This window comes from Homo sapiens, chromosome 11 (assembly GCF_000001405.40).
Source record: "Homo sapiens chromosome 11, GRCh38.p14 Primary Assembly".
Classification (NCBI taxonomy): Eukaryota; Metazoa; Chordata; class Mammalia; order Primates; family Hominidae; genus Homo; species Homo sapiens.
In genome coordinates this window covers 15,429,010-15,449,783 of record NC_000011.10, presented here as the reverse complement: position 1 = coordinate 15,449,783, position 20,774 = coordinate 15,429,010, and the positions used below count along the sequence as shown (strand labels likewise).

General features: G+C 40.4%; 4 annotated features.

The window, feature by feature from the left end:
* Nucleotides 2,189-3,388: an enhancer, noted in NCBI's record as "CDK7 strongly-dependent group 2 enhancer chr11:15467942-15469141 (GRCh37/hg19 assembly coordinates)". NCBI's record gives its function as "activates an origin of replication core promoter dependent on BRD2, BRD4, P300/CBP, MED14 and CDK7 cofactors, with strong dependence on CDK7, by STARR-seq in HCT116 cells {active_cell/tissue: HCT116}" and the evidence as "EXISTENCE:reporter gene assay evidence [ECO:0000049][PMID:35650434]".
* Nucleotides 2,381-2,947: an enhancer, noted in NCBI's record as "NANOG hESC enhancer chr11:15468383-15468949 (GRCh37/hg19 assembly coordinates)". NCBI's record gives its function as "activates a minimal SCP1, AML or CMV promoter by ChIP-STARR-seq in naive H9 embryonic stem cells {active_cell/tissue: H9 hESC(naive)}" and the evidence as "EXISTENCE:reporter gene assay evidence [ECO:0000049][PMID:30033119]".
* Nucleotides 2,467-2,761: a silencer, noted in NCBI's record as "tiled region #1355; HepG2 Repressive non-DNase unmatched - State 24:Quies, and K562 Repressive non-DNase unmatched - State 7:EnhWF". NCBI's record gives its function as "represses a minimal TATA promoter and a strong SV40 promoter by Sharpr-MPRA in HepG2 and K562 cells {active_cell/tissue: HepG2 | K562}" and the evidence as "EXISTENCE:reporter gene assay evidence [ECO:0000049][PMID:27701403]".
* Nucleotides 16,269-16,435: a silencer, noted in NCBI's record as "fragment chr11:15454895-15455061 (GRCh37/hg19 assembly coordinates)". NCBI's record gives its function as "represses an EF-1alpha promoter that drives an FKBP-Casp9 reporter gene in an ReSE screen in phorbol 12-myristate 13-acetate-treated (for megakaryocytic differentiation) K562 erythroleukemia cells {active_cell/tissue: K562(+PMA)}" and the evidence as "EXISTENCE:reporter gene assay evidence [ECO:0000049][PMID:32094911]".

Here is a 20,774-nt window from a genome sequence, read left to right as displayed (position 1 = left end):
ATTTTTTCCAACAGTAAATGGGCAAAATAGTAACAGTAAGCTTACCCTCAGGCCTGTTTCTAAGATCAAGTGAGATAGTGCATATGAAAGCATTTTAGAAACTGTAAAATGTCATCCCCACATTAAGTTCCATTAACCTAATTAACCAGCCTGTTTACAAATACGTTTCATTTTGACAATCAATCTTTCCCTTGACTTGTCCATTGGCAATTAGATGCAGAGTAGAGCTACAGATCATGGGCTAGTGATGGTTTTTACATAAGCTGCTGTTCCCTGATCCACTGATGGTAGAAATAACCCTGGAAAGGTACTCAAGAAACTCAAGCTTTAGTCTTTGGCTTTTCCATTCAATTACTCTGTGACATAGACAAGTTAATAAAATTTCTAAATCTCAAGTTTCATTCCTGAAAAATGTAGGTGAGAATGATATCTGCTCTACTCGCCTTACACAGTTTTGGGAAAGGAAACCTGGACTGTAGAAAATCCTAGTGTGGGCTGGGTGCTATGGCTCACACCTGTAATCCCAGCACTTAGGGAGGCCCAGGTCAGTGGATTGCTTGAGCCCAGGAGTTCCAGACCAGCCTGGGCAGCATGGTGAAACCCTGTCTCTACAAAAAATGCAAAAATTAGTCAGCCATGGTGGTACATGCCTATAGTCCCAGCTAGCAGGTAAGCTGAGGTGGGAGAATCTCTTGATCCCAGGAGGTTGAGGCTGCAGTGAGCCATGATTGTGCCGCTGTACTCCAGTGTGGGTGACAGAGCAAGACAGTCTGGGAGACAGTGCAGTTCTCTTCAAATTGCCAAAAAAAAAAAAAAAGGAAAGAAAGAAAGAAAGAAAGAAAGAAAGAAAGAAAGAAAGAAAGAAAGAAAGAAAGAAAGGAAGGAAGAAAGAAAGAAAGAAAGAAAGAAAAAGAAAGAAAAAGAAAAGAATAGAAAAAGAAAATCCTAGTGTCAAAAGGTATATTTTACCTCCTCTGATCCAGCCAGTACATGTTATACATGACCACTTAAAAGATATACAGGCCATAACACACATAAGGTCAGCTGTGGGCACTGAACAAAAAAGAGTCAATAACCCAGTGGACTCAAAACAATCTACAAGTGTTCTAAGCACCTGTGAGTGCTTCAAATCCAATTAGGAAAATGGCCGGGTACAGTGGCTCACACCTGTAATCCCTGGCATTTTGGGAGGCCAAGGTGGGCAGGTCATGAGGTCAGGAATTGGAGACCATCCTGGCCAACATGGTGAAACCCCGTGTCTACTAAAAATACAAAAATCAGCCAGGCATGGTGGTACGTGCCGGTAATCCCAGCTAATCAGGAGGCTGAGGCAGGAGAATCACTTGAACCCAGGAGGCGGAGGCTGCAGTGAGCCAAGATCATGCCACTGCACTCCAGCCTGGGAGACAGAGCAAGACTCTGTCTCAAAAAAAAAAAAAAAGGAAATGAAGATAAATTTAATAGAGAGGAGAGATAGTCACTCCCCTTATCCAAGGGAGGTACGTTCCAAGACCCCCGGGGGATGGCTGAAACCTTGAATACTACCAAAGAAACATATACTATGTTTCTTTTCCCTATACATACATGGCTATGATAAAGTTTAATTTATAAATTAGGCACAGTAGGAGATTAACAGCAATAACTAATAATAAAATAGAACAATTCTAACCATATACTGTAATAAAGTTACATGAATGTGGTCTCTCTTAAAATACCTTACTGTACTGTACCACGGATAACTAAAACCTGTGATAGAGCAAACCCATAGATAAGCAGGGTTGGGCGGGCTTGGGGTGGGGGGTACTGTAATTCAAAATGTCAGATAATCCCCTCCACTGCCAAAAATAGAAAAGTATACTTTATCTAGATTCAACACACATCTGCTGTCAATCTATGAAGTGCTGGTGCCACTTTCTCACAGGCACATTTCCATTTATGTTTTCAGTGTTTTCAATAATTTTTCAAATAATGCAGGGAGATCAATGCTCGATTTACAGAGAGGGAAACAGCTTGAGAAAATAAAAGTGGTACATGTAAGGCTGATAGTCTCCAGGGTGGTAGAGCCAGTACAGCGGATACAAGCCAAGATTCCAACCTGGGAGTCAGGAGACCTACGCACCCAGCCGGGCCTTCCTCTCCAAGTCCAGAGAGGAGCTCTCGTCTATGGCTGTGGCGGTCTGTGATTCTGAGAATGTGGCAGTCTTGTTTCTATTCTGCTCATGTGAGGAATCCTATGAATGATTTATGGTCAAAGCCTTTTCTTCTCTCTATTTCTCTTTGAACTTATTTTTAGATATTTGTCCGTTCAGTTACAGGTTTTATTGAAAGCTGACTTCATCAATCACAACTGGCAAACCCAGGGGAAAAAGACGCAGAGTGAATGTTCCACTCAGTTCTCTTCTCCAAAGAGAAACTCCTATTTCCTCCACCTTCGAAGGAAGAAAAAAAAAGTAGCTTTAACCACTAATCACAACTAATGGAAGATGCACTCTGCTATTCTTGACTACAATGACTTGAGGCAAACCCCAGGGAAGTCAATATTAGATCAATTTGCAGCTGGCGGCTGGGGAAGGTGTAAAAAGCTCCTACCGTGGGTCCATTGTAGAGCCCTGTGAGGGCTGCATTTGACTGGGAAACATTTAAATCTATTTTCTTTTGACCTCTGAGGACTCTTAAGTGAGGGGAAGAAAAAGCCCTTTGCAACAGGTCTGGTGTTTTGACATTCATTTTCCAGGGCACAGAGTGTTTCTGAAGGAGGAGAGGACAAATGCTTACAGTTAATGGAAGCCATGCTGGGCAACTGGTGTCATCAGAATCCCAGACTGAGCTCAGACGCAAGGCCAGCAAATTCAAGGAGACACTGGGGGGTGGTACAAGGCTGTACCTCATGGTGAACCTAAGGAGGAAAATGAGAAGCGTGGATGACCTCAACCAACGACAGTGCCCATGAAGTGGAAAGAGCCATCCATGGCAGGGGAGGACACTTGGGCTCTAATTGTAGCTGGCATTTAATAAGCACTTATTACCTGTCTGGCATTTATGTGAAAGACTATGTGCTTTACCTGACTAGGTCTTCCCAATAACCCCATATGGTAGGTATTACTACAATCACCACTTTAAAGATATGGAAAGTGAGACCTAGAGAATTGAGGTACCTTGACAGTTTCCATAGCCAGAGAGTGGCAAAACTGGAATTCACGTATGCATCTGACCTCAACACCCAAGCTTTTAATCATCACGTGATCCTGCTTTCCTGTTCTATCACTAGCACACAGCACATGAAGCAAGATTTATCTTCTCTGAGCTTCACTTTCCTAGGTTTCATGTAAACCGCTGGTTTAAGGGTAAGGAGAAGCCGTGGCTGAATTGCCTCAGCCACCTGCCTGTGTGCTGAATGCTGGACTCCTACAAAGGACCCACTGGAATGAGAACCTCTCTCCTGCTAGAAGATGGGAATATTGGATGTGAGCAAGGAAAGACACTGGGGACCTGTTGTTCAATTGCCCTAAGTCTGCCTCTGGTCAACTGTTTCTCCCTCATTTGGTTGCATATAAATTAAGGTCTCCAAGGGCATATTCTAGTTCTAGCTTAAAAAAAAAGAAGAAGAAGAAGAAGAAGAAGAAGATTAACCTACTCACCTGAAAACTCTTGAACCTTGTTGAGAAGACAATATCAGAACCAACCCGGAGAGGATGGGATGGTTGTGAATCTAGTTTACAAGGTTCCTTGAAGAACTGAAAAAACGGGAAAAAGAACTAGACAGGATTCAGATAAATGTTTTAGAGACAGTTGCTTTTGTGATAGAAACAAGAAGAGGCATATGGTTTAGAAGTTAAGTACTTGGCACTCTGGATTCAGTCAGACCTGGGTTCAAATCTGTTCCATCTCTTACTAAATGATGACTACAGAAAAAAGTATTGAACCTAGCTAGGCCTTGATTTCTTTATCTCTAAAATGGGTGTCTATAAATAAAACTTACCTCTTAGAGTTTTGTGAAGATTAAGAGATATCGCATATATATCCTTAGCCTAGTATACTACCAATGTTAGTCATTATCCTAAGTTACCTCCCAAAGAGAGCAAACACATTGATTTTGGAGAAGAAAATAGTATTCGAATGTGATGAAAGCATTGGCAAGAAAATGGATGTAAACTTGGCAGAGAAAACTCAACTGGAATATTTAGGGTAATTGGGTGTCCATGGAGCCACCCTGCACAAAGGGAAGACTGGGTAACCCCAGCTGTGTTTGCCTTATTTTCAGCAAGGATTTCTTGGCACTTGAGCAGAGCAACCCAGTATAGCAGAAGACCCAGAGAAAAGGATAACACTGGGCTAAGGGATGGGATGGAGGTAAAGTAGGGTAGGGACTTGCTGGCAGCAAATTAATGCCAACTAGGATTACAGAGTGAGAGAGGTCTTTGGAACACAGCCCTCTCTATGGTAGTGAGAAAAGGTAGTACCAGGTGAACTTGAAGGATTTGTCTGAATTGGACTGTCAGAAAAGGAATTTTTCTAATGGATTGTAGAGTTTTCCCTACTACATCCATTCTTCCTGTTCTGCAGCAACTTTAAGCTTTGGGCAGGATTGACTACTAGGGGAGAAACATGGACCAAGGATCAGCAAACTTTTCCAAAAAGGACCAGGGAGTAAATATTTTAGGCTTTGTGAGCCAGATGGTTGCAACTACTCAACTCTGTTGTACCATGAAAGCAGCCATAGGCAATAAGTAAATCAAAAGACTCTGGGTGTGTTCTAATAAAACTTTATTTACAAAAACAGGCAGCAGGGTGAATTTGGCCTGTGGCAGTAGACTGGTCTACTAAGCCAATCAAGGTACCCTCACCCGCCCTTTGACACAGTGATGACTAAGCTGAATAGCGCATAATATTTCAGTAACTACAGTGATTGGCTCTGGAATATTCTAATCAGAGCAAATATGAGGAATTCAATTTGATGGTTTTGTGGGGAATGGGGAGGGGGAACATGAATTGTTGCTCCCTGTATATAACTAAAAAAATAATCATAAGGAAAGCCAGGCAGAGGAAGAAGACAATAAATGGAGAAGAAAAGAGCTTAGAATATATTAGAGAAACCAAACTGATAATCTGATTGAACCATCCCTGAAGCTTGCCCCCTATTTGACTTCATAACTATAAAAGCAAATAAATTCCTACTTTATAAGCCATTTTAAGTTAGATTTACCAATACTTCCAACAAAAGAATCCTGACTGATACCAGTTGGGGATCATATTAACTAAGGGAAGGAAAAGAACACTATGTCCACAATGAAAACAAAACAAAATAATAAAACATGGCAAGCAGAACTGCTTTCAATGCAGCTCAGTTTAGGCAATCAAAGTGGACAGTGTTTCACCTACCCCTGTGCCCACCGTCACAGTTCCTGAAGTATCTCTTCTGACAGCTACATTCTAAAAGCATACTTAGAAAGCAACAAGCCAAAATTCTCTGTTAGTCCTTTTGTTATTTCAGGAGACAGCTTTGAGAGAAGGAAACTCCAGTTAAATCACAGGGGTTCTGGAATTTACTTCTTCCATCCATTCTGACTTGCTGTAGGAATCCCTTTGTGGGATTCCTCATCTGTGAAATAAGCATCTTAGATAAAATAATCATCACAAAGGCTCTCTTTCCACCATTCTTATATAAGAGTAAGAACAGTTTGATCATCTCTCCAGGAGAATGAGACTTTGGGTAGTTGCAATTTTTCCCTGGAAAGATTACAAATTAACATAAAAAAAGAAAAGGAGAAAATACAAATTACTCATAATATCTTCCTTGAGAATAACCACTGTGAACATTTTGGTGTGAATATGTTCAAGCTTATTTATGTCTCATCCACATGTACAGACACACAAACAAATATAAGAAATCATACTGTGCATATTATATTATAACCTGTTGAATTACCTTAAAAGTATAATGATCATCTTTCCCTACCAATAAATATTCTTCCATAACATAATGTTTTAATAGCTGTAAAGAATTTCCATTGCATAGATATACCAAAATTTATTCAACTAATCTCTTTCTGTTGGAAATTTAGGTTTATCTAATTTTCTGCTATTTTAATATTATGATGAACATTATTGTAGCTAAATCTCTACACATTTGCATTATTATATCCTTAGGATTTATTTTTAGAAATGGAATTACTAATTCAAAGGGTATAAACATTTTTAAGTTGTCTGATGCATTTTACCAAATTATCAAGAAAGTTTATGCAAATTTAAACACCCCTTCCCTGTATATGAAAAAGCCTGTTCACTCACACTCTCACCACCACCAGGCGTTGTTATATTTTAAAATCTTAATAAGTCAGGGGAAGTGAGAAAAATGGGAGACAGATTCATTATGAGAAGATATCTTGCACTTTAATTTCTTTGTAGGGTAAATCTTCTTTATGAGGTTTGATTTGTAATTGGACCCTGGAACTATATGAAGAGCTAACTCTAGTTATGTTTCTACAACCGAAGATGTAGTCCAAGAGGACAACTTGATTCCTCTTTCAAGATCTGAAAGTAGAGATAAAATAGTCTCATCAGACAAGGATAAAAGGATGCCTAGTGGGCTAGGGGGAGACAGAGACAAATGGATATCAAGGGAAATTCCAAGTTTTCTGAATCCTCCCACATATCCCCCCCTCCAACTTTTAGAGTCTCAATTCTTCCTGATTAGCACCTTAACTGTGACACAAGAACTGATCCATATTCAATTGGTAGAACTCCACAACCTATAAGAATAATCTTGAATTTGGTTATCTTCCCTGTGACTCTTCAAAATACATATATATATATACACACACACATATATATACATACACACACACATATATATAATATATAATTATTATGTTATATATATATATGTAAAATCCTGGCTAACACCTGCATTGCAGCCTAATGAGACCGTGAAGCAAAGAACCCAGCTAACCTATGCTCACAGACTTTTGATCTACAGAAACTGAGAGGTAATAAATATGTGTTGCTTGAATCTGCTAAGTTTGTAGGAATTTGTTGTGCCGCAACAGAAAACAAATATACCCACATATGCCTCTTTCTGTTACCAATTTCTGTAATGAGTTTCTCAATTGCAAACCAATTATATTTGATTTAAGCAGCAAAGCAACTCATTGAAAGCATACCAGATAGGGCACAGAATCCAAAGAAAGGCTTTAGAATTGGTCTTGCTCAATAGGCAGGTAGTTGAGGAGACCAGCAGCAGGAGTCACATCCCAGATGCTTCAGTATCACTCTTGTTAAGATAACACTACTGGCACATCTGCCACTGTTACCACCACTGCTAGACAACACTGCCACTAGACTCTGTTTCTGCTACTGGCCACTGGGTACTAGTGCTGCCACCACTGGGTACAGCCACCACGCAATGCCTTTTTCATCACTGCCTTGCATCTTTGCATTCGTTTGTTGAGATTTAAACTATTAAGTGAGAGCATGTGATTGGCCAAGTGGAAGTCACACACCCATATCCTAACTTCCAGGAAACAGTGAGATGAAGTATCTGCCCAGAGCCACAGAACTGCTCTAATTTAGAGTGCACATAAATAGCATGTCCAGGAGCTTCACAGAGGTCACCTAATCAGAGACCACAGTAAAACTTGTGCTTCCTAGAATTATGCAGTGTACAGCTATTCATACAAATTGTGATGAGAATGTATCCCCTGGAGTTGCACAATGCAGCACCCTGTACTGTTCCCATCCATCTTCTCCTGCAGAAATAGAAAGTTGTATCTTATCAAGATGAAGAATTACACTATGGAATGGCCCTCCAGTGGAAAGGTGTTAGGATACAGGAAAATTATGAAAAAAAAAGATAAATGAGCCTTATATCAGTAAATAGCTGGTAATTGAAGCCACATGTCAACATTGTATAGTCATCCCTTGGTATCCATGGGAGATTGGTTCCAGGGCACCTTTCCAGCAGCCCCAAGCAGATACAAGACATTCATGGTGACTGCACCCAGGGGTGGCAGCTCTAGTACCCAGTGGCCAGTATTTGCTCAAGTCCCTTATATCAAATAGTGTCCTATTTGTACAGCACCTATGTGTATCCTCCTGTATACTTTAAATCATCTCTAGATTACTTATGATAACGAATACAGTGTAAATGCTATGTAAATAGGTGTTATACTGTGGTGTTTTTTATTTGTATTATTTTTTATTGTTGTATTGTTATTTGTTGTTATTTTTTGTCTGACTCGTTTTTTATTCTTAGTTTGTTGAATCTGTAAATGTGGAACCTGCAGCTACAAAGGGTAAAACCCTATTATAGTTTAAGAGTGGCATGAAGATAGAAGGAGACCAGGGAAAAAGCTTCAAAGGATTCTAACAGGGCATAGTCAGAGAAAGAATAACAAGTGTTCAGGAGTATAGGCAAAGTCCAGTAACCTTGAGGAAGAATTTCCCAGGAGGTCTTCAATTTCATATAGGAATTAATATATTTTGGTAAAGAAATATCATAAAGTATTTAATTAAATACAATTTGATTTTTAAGAACAATAACTAAAAAACAGTTAAAACAAGGTCTTTTCTTTTAGAATTCATATCCTGATTTGGCATTCGGAAGTTATGGTCACTTCAGAAGCAAATTCAAACTTATTTTTGTCTAGAGTTAGATTGAAGGATGAGGATCCAGGACTTGTGGTTCAAAAATCTTTAGTGGGGCCAACATAATTTTATCAAAATTGCAGCCCATCTAATTCTCTAGTTTCTGATGTTGAAAAATGCAATATATTTGTAAAGTTGAATGAAATCTTTCCTAAAATAATCAAAACAAATTTTCCTTACTCACTGAGAACATGATGTAGTCATAATATAAACCTGAGAATTCAATCAAGAAAAGTTGCATTTCTGTACAGAAAGCAAAGATAATATCGAATTTTCATCAACTGTGTCTGACTTCTCTGATTCACAGAAAGAGAAGAAAAGCCTACCTATAAAAGTTTATCTTACAATAGGAAAAAACAAAACCAAAGTGTTTTCCCTACTCTGTATTCTCACACAACTCAACATTTCTGACACCAGATGTGCGGGAGTGTTTCCCCACATACCAAGCAAGCAGTTCTCCAGCAGACACCAGCTGGATGTCCTCTGATTCAATTTGATTCTGATACTATCTACCTGAGGATAGCTTCAGAACACACAGTCTCACAAGACTGTCCCTCACTTCAGATGCCAGTCACAACTAGTAGGTTTTCACCATGCTTCTGACCAATAGCCTATAAATCAGGGGTTTCCACAACCCCTTCCTCAGTCTCAGTTAATTTGTTTTGGTGGCTCATAGGACTCATTTATGATAAAGAACAGCCAGATGGAAGAGATACATACAGCAAGGTATGTTGGAAGGGGCCTGAAGCTCCCATGCTCTCTCCGAGCATCCCACCTTTCAGGAACCTCCAAGTGTTCAGCTGTCTGGAAGCTCCCTAAGCCCAGCCTTTTTGGGTTTTTAGGGATGCTTCATTATATAGGCATGATTGATTGACTCATTGACCGTTGGTGATCAACTCAACCTTCAGAACCTCTCCCCTCTCTCGTGGGTGGGACTAAAACTTCCAACTCTCTAATTATATAGTTGATTCCTCTGGCAACCAGCCCTTATCCTGAGGCTATCCAGGAGCCCACCAAGAGTGGTCTCTTTAGAACAAAAGACACTCATACCACTCAGGACATTACAAAAGTCTTAGGAAGTCTGTGTCAGGAACTGGGGGTCAAAGACCAAATGTTAAAATAAAAGATTCTCTTATCATCCCTATCTACAAGGGTTTTAGAAGCTGCATGTCAGGAAATGATGACAAAGACCAAATATATATATATTTCATAATATCATGGTTCATGATGGAGAAGAGGACAGAAATGAAATAGATGTCTATGCATGTATAGAGATTATTCTTGTAAAGGATGGATTTTATAGGGGAAAAAAGTGAAGAAATTCAAGAGAAGTCGAGCAAAAATAGCAGAGAGGAAGAGTGCTGACCAGGTATGATGGGGACCAAAGGAAATAAACAGCGTACAGGACAGGAAAGATGAGGCAAGTGCTCTAGCCAACTAATTGGCTCAGAGTAAGCTACAGGAATAGTCTATTCTTATAAGATAAATTATTTAAGAGCATCTCTGTGTTGGGAAATTCCATGGATTTCCAAAGTTAACATCCTTCCTTTGTCAAGGAGTAAATCCAAACATTTCTGTTTGATCTTCAAGACCTTTTAGCTAGACTATGTCTCTATATTCTGACCACAGTATGGCCAAATATGTGGCTGTCTTTCCACGCCATTGCTCACATCAGGACCCTGCCTTGAATTACTATTCCAAACCTCCATTCAGCCACCCCTAGTCCTTGGGAATTCTGCTTCTCTCCAGCTTTATTCCAAAAGTAGCCATAAACCAACCTTCTATGCCACTGCCCTGGCAGTTGACATGATTTCCTGAAATTGTTTGTCCTAACCTATATAGACTTTGTCATGAAGAAGAGAAGGGTCTTGGCAGCAGGGACAGGTAAGTGAGGGCAGAATCCAGAACCAGGTGGGACTATTCTAGAAAAACCATATCAACTGGGAGGCCAGTCCTTTGTTGGGTTATCCAGGCGAGCCTTGAACAAAATGTCCATGGAGACACAGTAAATTCAGGATTGATTAGGGCCAGTATTGATGCTCAAGTAGGAGCACCGTTAATGTTTTGATTGGTCTCTTTGTAAGAAGATATCAAGTCATGGCCAGGGAAGACATACTTGACTGTAACGAGAAGAATCCAGGAAAACCATGGGCCTGGGAACAGACCTTATTCACTAGGGCAGGAATTCATTCCTTGTGGGAAAAACAACTACAATGATTTTGGCATCTACTACTAATACTATTACTACTACTGCCAGTAATAACAACAGTGCTAATAGCTACCATCAGTTTAATCTCTTCTCTGTATTAGGTTGTACAGCCAAGTACTTCATTAATTCCTCACAATATCTTTAAACTGGATATCATCATCTCTTTTTTTGCAGTAAAGGGTTATGTGACTGAATCAACACAAAAAAAGTGGCAGGGGCAGGATTCAAACCAGGACCACTAGACTCCAAAGACTATACATTGTCCTTTAAATCACATTGCCTCTACAGGTACTGTCAAGCTGGAATGGAAGCTGAGGTTGAGCTGTCCTATGAGCAGGGGTTGGGAGTCACCTTCAATTAAAAGGAAAATAAAGGTCTGGAGTAAGCCCCAAGAACAACAGATCTCATGCTGTTGGATGTACAATTAACTTCTTTGCACAATTAATGCACAATTAATTTTTTTCCCTGCCTGTTGGAGGAGCTGGGCCTTTTTTTATACTGCCTGACCAGTAGACTTCGGGTCAGGGATTGCACATGATTGAGTCTGTAGTTAATAACGGTGGAGGAAGACAAGGGCTGGCATAGCCTATTCATATTCCCAACTGAAGAATGAGCTCATTGATGAGAGCAACTGTGACTTGGATATCTTCTCTACTTGTCCTAGTGGCTGGCCCATAGTAGGTCCTCAGTGTGTGCTTAGTGATGGATTGATTGGTCGATTGATTGATAGGCCAATTGACTGACTAAAAGGACATTAGGGAAAGCAACAATGGGCTTGGTTCTTCCATTATCCATTATCCCTTCATGCTTCCTCAGACCTGCCTTGCAAAGATGTGACTTATTGCTTCCCCTCTCCCCACTTCTTCTCAGAAAACATGACATGACCTTTCTGGTTCCACAGAATATATTTACTTCCCCCCTGGGTACTTTCGATTTGCATTAAGTGAAACAATGCTTACTGTGCTATCTCCTCTGTCCCTAATAAATGGGAGCCCTGACTGTCCTCAGCGTCCCAGACAAATAAATGATCCAAATCACTTGAGATTTGAACAGATCTGCTGGCCCAGTTTAGCCCAGTAATAGTAATGGCTATAAACATATCCCTTCTCCCACCTCTTATTACTACCACCACCCCTAAGCCCATACTGCAATATTCTGGCTAACTTGTTTGAGACATGAAGAATAAGGCATTAATCTGAGTATCTGCAGAGCAACATATGCCAGTCTCCTACACCATCAATGGAATTAATGGGGCTCCAACACACAGGAAGCCAGAGTTCTTATGGGTCAGATCCTTCATCATAAGGGTCTAGCACCAGCAGTACTGGGCATCAACTGCATGAGCTTGTATCAGACAAGGTCAAGTCCTTTTTGGTTAAATGCCACACAAGCCCTGACCACTGGGCTATCTCATTCCCTAAGATGCTGCCAAGTCCTCTCCCAGGAATCCTGACGTTCCCTACATAAAAGCATGACTTTTTTATCCAAAATGCTTACAGCATTTCAAAATACATGTTCAAAATACTTTGAAATACATATTCCTTCAAAATAGGTATCTGTCAATGCCATCTTAATGATATCAGCTGGGTAACCATTAACTTATTTGTTGAATCAAGAAAGTTTTTAAAGTAGAACTCACCATTAATAAGTACACAGGGATAAGAAGCATAAATTGGGACTGCCTGGACAAATCAGGATATGTGGTAACCCTAATATTGGCTTCTTAAATTGCAATGTGAGCTCCCCGTGGGCAGAGTTTCATAGCCCTTCCTTCCCCACTTTCCCTCCCCAATTAAGCTGCAGTCCTCATTCAAGATGAAGTTACAAAGCTCTCTACACACTCTTTCAAGTAGCCCTTTCTAATCTGCAGGTTTAGGTTTAGGTAGATAGGAGTATTATCTTCAGTTTCAGGACTTCTTATTCTTATTCTTATGCTTATTCCAAATAAGTGTAAGTGTTCCAAATAATCTCAATCCTGGTTACTTCCTCTTTTCTTAAGCTCCTGGATAACTTGGATGAGTTTAATTTATTTACCCTATAAGCAATCTCACTGTGGCCAGAGAAGTATGACACCTCCAAGAGCACCACAGCAGGAACAAGAACTGGGGCAATGATGAGCTGGGATCCCAAAGCACCAAATTGGATCTTTCTGAAGCATCAACATTATCCAGCACATTCCAAAGCTGGACAAATCCAAGGGCCTGCTGGATAAATACCCAAGACTCTCTCCCCCTACCAGAGCTGGGTCTGGGGACTTCTTGGAGCGATATGGTTATTTTCTGGCCCTTCTTGCAGTTTCTTAAGACCAGCTGCTTTGTCACATCATAACCCTTCTCTACTGTACACCCATAGCCAAATTCCACGTACCCAGCAGCAGGAAGTTCAAAGACCATCTGTTTGTCTCACCCCAGCTTCCTAGCCTCAGCAGAACCAGTCCTGGGTGTCCTACTCCAAATCCTCAAGAACTACTCTCAGTGCTGCATTTGAAGCACCTATCTTCTGAGACTCTACTATATCTCTCTTTCCTCCCACCTTCAAAATAAAAACAGCCGTTTTGTGGGACAAGATGCCTATTATCTCTTCATCCCCTGACTTTTTTTCTTTTTTTTTTTCTTTTTTTTTTGAGACAGAATTTCACTGTTGTCGCATATGCTGGAGTGCAGTGGCGCGATCTTGGCTCACTGTAACCTCGAACTCCTGGGTTCAAGCAATTCTCCTTCCTCAGCCTCCGAAGTAGCTGGGACCACAGGCACCCACCACTATGCCCAGCTAATTTTTGTATTTTTAGTAGAGATGGGGTTTCACCATGTTGGCCAGGCTGCTCTCGAACCCCGATCTCAGGTGATCTGTCTGCCTTGGCCTCCCAAAGGGCTGAGATTACAGGCGTGAGCCACCGCACCTGACCCATCCCCTGCCTTCTATGGGGATCTTTGTATCCTAGGGCTCCCTGAGTTGTTAGGAAACCAAAAGTGAGCATTTAATCTTCTCTTCGCAGCACATTTGAGCATTGCTGTAGGCACAATGCCCACATTACCTTATTGAGTTCTCCTGAGTGTTCTCTAAGATAGGTGCTATTAGCCCTTTAGTCTAGAACAGGGAAACTGAGGCTAAGTAACTTTTAAGTTGTTTGCCCACAATCACAGGGCTTTCTGGTATAGCGTAGATAAAGAGGAAAACTCTTCAAAAACAGACTGGACATTCTTGCTGAGACATAAACATACAAAGGAAAATAGCACTCAACAGGTTACTCAAGAAATCCAGAGAAGAGATTCAAAAAGGAGTTACCATTTGGGAATCCTTGACAGAAAGACACATGACAGGATAACTACACTGTGAGGGGATTCTCTGTATCCTGTAGTCATCATTAAGCAAACCCTCTTCTTCCCCAGATCTACTAAGACCCAAGAGGCAGGTCTCCATCTAGACCCTCCAGGGGTTCTTTACTATTTTCTTGGGTTCAATAAATGGAGATGAAATTTTCATTTCTGAGAACTCCAGTAAAGCTATTTCTAAGAAAATATTTATTTAAGGACATGCTATGTCATACTATGAATTGTATGATTTCAACCGTACCAAAAACAAACATGCAAATGGAACAAGACAGCAAGAAGATACATGCTATGAGGGGTGATGGTAGAATTATGGACACTTTTCTTTAAAAAATAAGTCTACTTTCTTATGAACCTATTCTAGTTTAACTTTTTTAAAGTATAATGGAGATGAAAGAACAAGGAACTTGAACAAAAGCTCTATTCTTTACTGAGTCTGTGATTTTTATTTCTCTGAGCCTCAGTTTTCTCATGTTACAAAAAGAACCCATAATGATTACATAATTGTGCATATAATTTATCTAGCCCACTGTCTAGTGCTCATTGTTACTCTCCTTCCTTTCCTAACACTAGGTGAAAATGTTGCATCAAAATATACCACGGCTGTCATTTCTGGGTCTTTTCCTATAGAAAAGTTTCCCCAAAGTCAGAAAGCTAGCATTAGGACCCAGCTCACTGCCCGTGCATCTATCTCCCTCCACCACATGCAAAGCATCAAAAGAATGACTCTGTCCACGAAAATCATAGCACCAGGAGGAGGAAAATCAAACCCAAAATTAATCAAACAGGATGTTTTTCCAAGAGCAAACATGCATCAATTAGGGGAAATGTTACCATCCAGGTACCGGATTTGGAATTTCACAAGGGACTCATAAGGTGAATAAACTAAGCTCTGGCATTGATTATGGAAAGCAGTGGCTGTATGATGTCAGGGTTGCTGTGATCAGTCCAGCCAGAAATTCACTTTTCAGTGCCTTGATTCCTGGGATTACCTTTGTGCTGACTGACAGCCAAAGAAAGAAAAACTGCACTGGTTAATGGAAAACTTTCTCTGATCTGTTCATCTAACAGTTGGTGATACAACCAATGCTGATTTTATTTGCTTGTTTTTGAATTATACATGTTCTTTAAATCAGAGCAAGTCAAAACAAGAAATTCTTCATTGCCCCTTCTGCATACAAGGTATGATATTAGGTACAGTGAGGGATACAGAAGTGAGAAAAGACAGTCTCTCTCCTCACAGAGGAAAGCAGGGAAAAACAATTGCTATTGGGACCTTGCTCTATGCCAGACACCATGTCCCAAGCTTTATGTCTACTATTATCTACTATTTTCCCTACAATCATATGAAGTAAGCTTATTGTTCCCATTCTTTGGATGAGAAAACTGAGGCCCAGGGAGATCACTGATTTGAGCCCTGGCTTGTAGAACTCGAAAGTACTTATACATCATGGTTTCATAAGCTATCCCCAGATCAAGGTCCAGAATCATCCATTCTCTGCCCAGACCACAAAATGGGGTAGTAGCTGGGGAGCATTAGGCCATTACCTCAGGATCATTTGTGCAACCTGATCACGAAGTCATCTTCCTCCTCAGAAGATGAACTGAAAATCACAGAGTTTTCTCTACTCACCTGTCCAAGTCTGGGTGACATGATACGTTCCCCGGAAAAGAGCCCTCACCTCTCCAGTGAGAATCTCCTTCCTTTGAACTCCTACTGCATTTTGTTTGCACCTCTCTTAGGAGACTTGTTCCTTTGCTTTACCAAAAATAAAGCCCTGGTTTATTGCATGTCCATTCCTTTCCCAGCCCTTCTGCCTTTTGGAATCCTATTCATCCTCTAAGATTTGATCCAAATGCCATTTCATGGATTCGGCTATTAAATTGCTCTGCACTCCGAGTGCACCCATGCTCTTATTCCTACTTTTTAAAATCTAATGTGAATTTCAGTCCACCAAATCAGGTGTAGAAAATGTAACTTCGTTTTCTATAGTCTAACACTTATTCAAACGTCTCCTCATCTTATTTGGGCCTCTGCTGTCTTTCCTTGCTGGTCACTGCCAAACCATTCCCCATCCCCACCTGCATGGTCTCTTCATTGGCGAATCCCTCCTTTACTTTGGTGCCATGCTATTCAGGACTGTCTGAGGCTCTCCTCATCCTTCTCCCTCTAGGTGCACCAAGCAGGCGCTCCATCTCTGTGACCTTGTTGCTTCCCTGTAGTTCTGTCAGAGAAGCAGGGACCCTCTGCTCTCAGATTCCATAAACCCACCCGGAATTCTTAGCTTGCCAGGGGTTCGGTCTGAGAATCAGAGTCTAGAATCTCCTTCTCCATGACCCATCCTCATCTTTACACATGTAGCTTTTCCCTCCATTTTTTTTTAACACTCCCAAGACCAGGAGAAGCATTCCTAGTTGTGTGTGGGCGAGAAGGAGAATGTTTTCCCTCAGATTATCTAACATTTTGCGATACCCATAGTCTTCTGCTTTCGCCTAAGAGCACTGTCGTTTAAATAATAAGGACAGTCACATCCCTTTCTTACAGAAATGAACACCTAAAAAACAGCTTCCTTGATTAAATAGGACAGGAGAAAAGGGGAAAGAAAGAGTAAACTTGCAGCAGAAAACAAATAGCATTGTTTAACATCTCCAAATGTCTTGTCATCCTCCTTAAGTCGGCATTTAGCTCAGGGCACAATGGCCTTTTACTTTAGGCTCGGCCTCTGCCATGAGCGGCAGGCAATCTGTTTCATTTTGTTGTTAAGTTTAGGGACACAGCCTGGGATGGTGGACAGAACCGTGGATTGGGTGTTGGGAGACTTGGCCTGTGTTTCCTGTTATGATACTAATGGGACATGTGACCTTGAGAAGGTAATTTCCTCTCCATTTCTCCTGTGCCTGAGCCATACAATCAGAAGATTGTATCAGATCAGTGTTTCCTAATGCTTGATCATACTTGTATCACCTTTGTGTTTGTGCCACATCTGTCATCTTTATTGTTATTATTATTATTATTATTATTATTATTATTATTATTTTCAGACAGAGTCTCACTCTGTCACCCAGGCTGGAGTGCAGTGGCATGATCTTCACTCACTGCAACTTCTGCCTCTCAGGTTCAAACAATTCTTGTGCCTCAGCCTCCTGAGTAGCTGGGATTACAGGTGTGCACCACCATGCCCAGCTAATTTTTGTATTTTTAGTAGATATGGGGTTTCACTGGCCACTATGTTGGTCAGGCTGGTCTGGAACTCCTGAACCTCAGGTAATCCAGCCACCTCAAAATGCTGGGATTTTAAGTGTGGCCACCACATCTGGCCCATAGCATTTTTTAATATTTTTTCTTAAATTGACTCACTTTTTTTGCTAAATTAAATTTACTGTAAAAGGAAACTTTCTATCACTTGATGAACCTAAAAAGTAACCCAAAAAAATTAATTCAATGAAAACAAAACACTGTCATCAAGTTCTAACTGGGCATTTTTGCCTTCCAAATGCTTTATATCTTTGTTAAAAAGTAAAAATGGCATTCTTGGTAAACAGGGGAATTGAAATAGATCTGAAAATGAAGTAACTTTCTCTTTAGGGGTTAAGTGGTATATAAAGGCATGCCCTTGGACTAGACAAAAGCTTCTCATCCCAGCAGAGGTAGGAGTCCTGGGCTGGAAGCACTAAATTGGATGATACTTAAACTTCTATAGCTCCAACATTCTGTGTGGTCCTACTCTTTTTGGCATTCTTAAGTCATTTGCGCAAAACCTGCTTCTTGTCCAGAACTTCATATTTCACTTCTATTCTCAGCCAAGCTGTCATGCCTCAATTTCCCCCAGTTTTAGTGCTCTGTTGAGAGTTTGGAGTGTTACAGAGGTCCCACTTCTATCTCCTGGGTCTAATAGCTTCCCCATTTTATCTCCACAGGGTTTCTGCTCTCCTTCTGTGTCCTGTGCCCACTCTACTCCATTTCCAGCAGGAGGAGGCCAGCCCCCTGGGGTTCAGTGGCCAGATGTCTCCTAACACACCTGGTCATGCTGCTAAAGCCTGTATTTTTCATGTCTCACACTTGTCTGTCTGTGTCACTCACACCTGTGGTCAGCACTGTCTTGAAAAAACACCTGCTCCAGAGCCAAGCCTGTAAAAAAGGGGTATCAAGCATGGCTAATGCCCCAGCAGGCACTAGGCCACAGCTTCTAGGAACATTAGATGAATTGGTTTGATCTTTTCCTTTCCAAGGACAGCCTGAACTTAGCCTTTCCAAGGAAGCAGGAGAAATGGTTCAGTAGGTTGAAAGTAGAAGAAATGGTCCAGCATGTTCCTACTGGAAGACATGAGAACACATCCACAGCCTTTAAATATGTATCTAGAATGAGATCAATGCTATGTTGCATCTCCTGAAGTTTTCTTTAGGCTGTAATCCTCATCTTGTTCCTTTTCGAAAAAGAATAGAAAGAGTGGCCTTTTCTTCCGGGAGTTTGGCAATTAGATACTTAGAAGTGCTCTCCCACTGCATACCAACTATATGCTTATGAAACATAATTTTGAATGCATTGCTGGGCTCCCAGAAACTCTACAAACACCCACCCTCTCTGTCAAAAGCAAAGAAAGATAAAAAAGATGAGTGTGACCTGTAAGCAAATATGGAAGGCAAACTTTGAAGTAAATGCCAATATTAGCACTGTATTCTGGTGATTATGACTTGGGCCAGCTGAAGGGTGTAGTTGTTTACCCTTAAACACTAATGTTAAGTAAGAAATCCAGAAGAAAATCTGAAACAGTCCCAGGTAGGTAGCACTCTTTGGCTCCTGGTGGATACCAATATTATTATTATCTGGAAGAAAGCATCCTTGATTTAGGTCACACAGAATTCCAGAAATTTAAAATCAGTCAACTAAGAGTTTACAATAAAAGATCATTAAGCATACAAGGAAATAAACCATCATGAGTAAGAATCAGCAAAAACAACAAATGCCACATTCGGACACAGTATTGGACATATCTTACATACCAGTTATGATACGCTTGGCCTAATTTGGCTCACACTCTGGTCACTACTCTCATGACCAACTGTGTGTGGACTCTGATCAACTTTATGCAGATGCAGCCCGGAAGTGTCTCACCTCATTCTTGTATTGCATGCTTCTCTGAATGCTTCTTGCCTCCTGTTCCAGGGCTTCCTTGATGATGCTAAGGTGTGAGACATGGAGAGACCCTGCTCAGTGTCCATACATGTGGAAGCCAGAAGTGTAGGGAAGTCAATGCCCTATGGGCAAAACTAACCAATGGGAGAGAGGGAATCAATAGACACATTCTTTCTCACACTTTCCCCTAGATGGATGATCCTGGGAAGTATTTCATATGGCTTCTTGAGGGGTCATTGCCTAGCATAGACCTATGCTACGAATAATCCATTGAATTTAGTAGCAGCCAGCTAACAGCACATCTTCATTGAGACTTTCTCTCCTTCTTAACCTTACCTACCTTTGCTCTCACTTCTGCTCCCTAGGATGGTACTTACTAAAAAACAGTCACATATAACTTCTGGTTTCTGGACAACCTAGGCTAAGTCAGTCAAGGATGTTAGATATTGCACTTAACAGATAAAATATATAACAACTATATGTGAAACTTTTTAAATATAAAAAAGCAAACAACTAAACACTACAAAACAGGCAGATTAGAAAAGGTACAAAATAAAATGAAAAGTATAGTGGTTGAAAATAAATTTTAAAAAATTCATTGGATATGATAAATAATAGCTATGGTTGAAGGGAGAATTAACAGACTGGAAGATATATTTGAAATAGTTATCCAGATTGTAGCCCAAAGAATAAGACTAAAAATATTAGAAGATAAAAACATGGCCTGATTTTGTGCTATGGTCTGATTATGTCTCCCCAAATGTATATGTTAAAAACTAGTTATTAATATGATAGTATTAGGAGGTGAGACCATTGGAAGGTAATGAGATCATGAGGATAGAGGTCCCAGGAATGGGATTAGTGCCCTTATAAAAAAGGCCCTAGAGAACTGCCTTGCCCTTTCCACCACGAGAGAACATAGCAAAAAGGCATCATTTTATGAACCAAGAGACAGGCCCTCACCAGACATTGAATCTGTTGGCGCTTTAATCTTGGAACTCTGAGAAATAAATTTCTATTGTTTATAATTCATCCCATATATGGTATTTTGTTACAGTAGCCCTAATGAACTAAGACAGGTGGATAGAATGAGAAGATCTAATATATATTTAATCAGAGTCTCAGAGAGAACAGAGAAAATAGTGGAAAATAAACATTTTAAAAGTGGTTAAGAAGAAAGACATAAATCTATAAATGCAAAAAGCACATTTACTAACCAAGACACATAAAATCTACACTAGGTAAAATGGAGCACCAAAGACAAAAAAACAAAAGTTGTCAAAATCAGCCAGAAAGGGTAAGACAGTTCATTTACAAAAAAATGACAAACTGACCACATTATTCTGGGTTCTCCTGAGAAACAGAACCAGTAAGATGTGTATACAGAGAGAAAGACACTTATTATAAGGAATTGACTCACATGATTACAGAGGTTGACAAGTCTCAAGATCTGCAGAA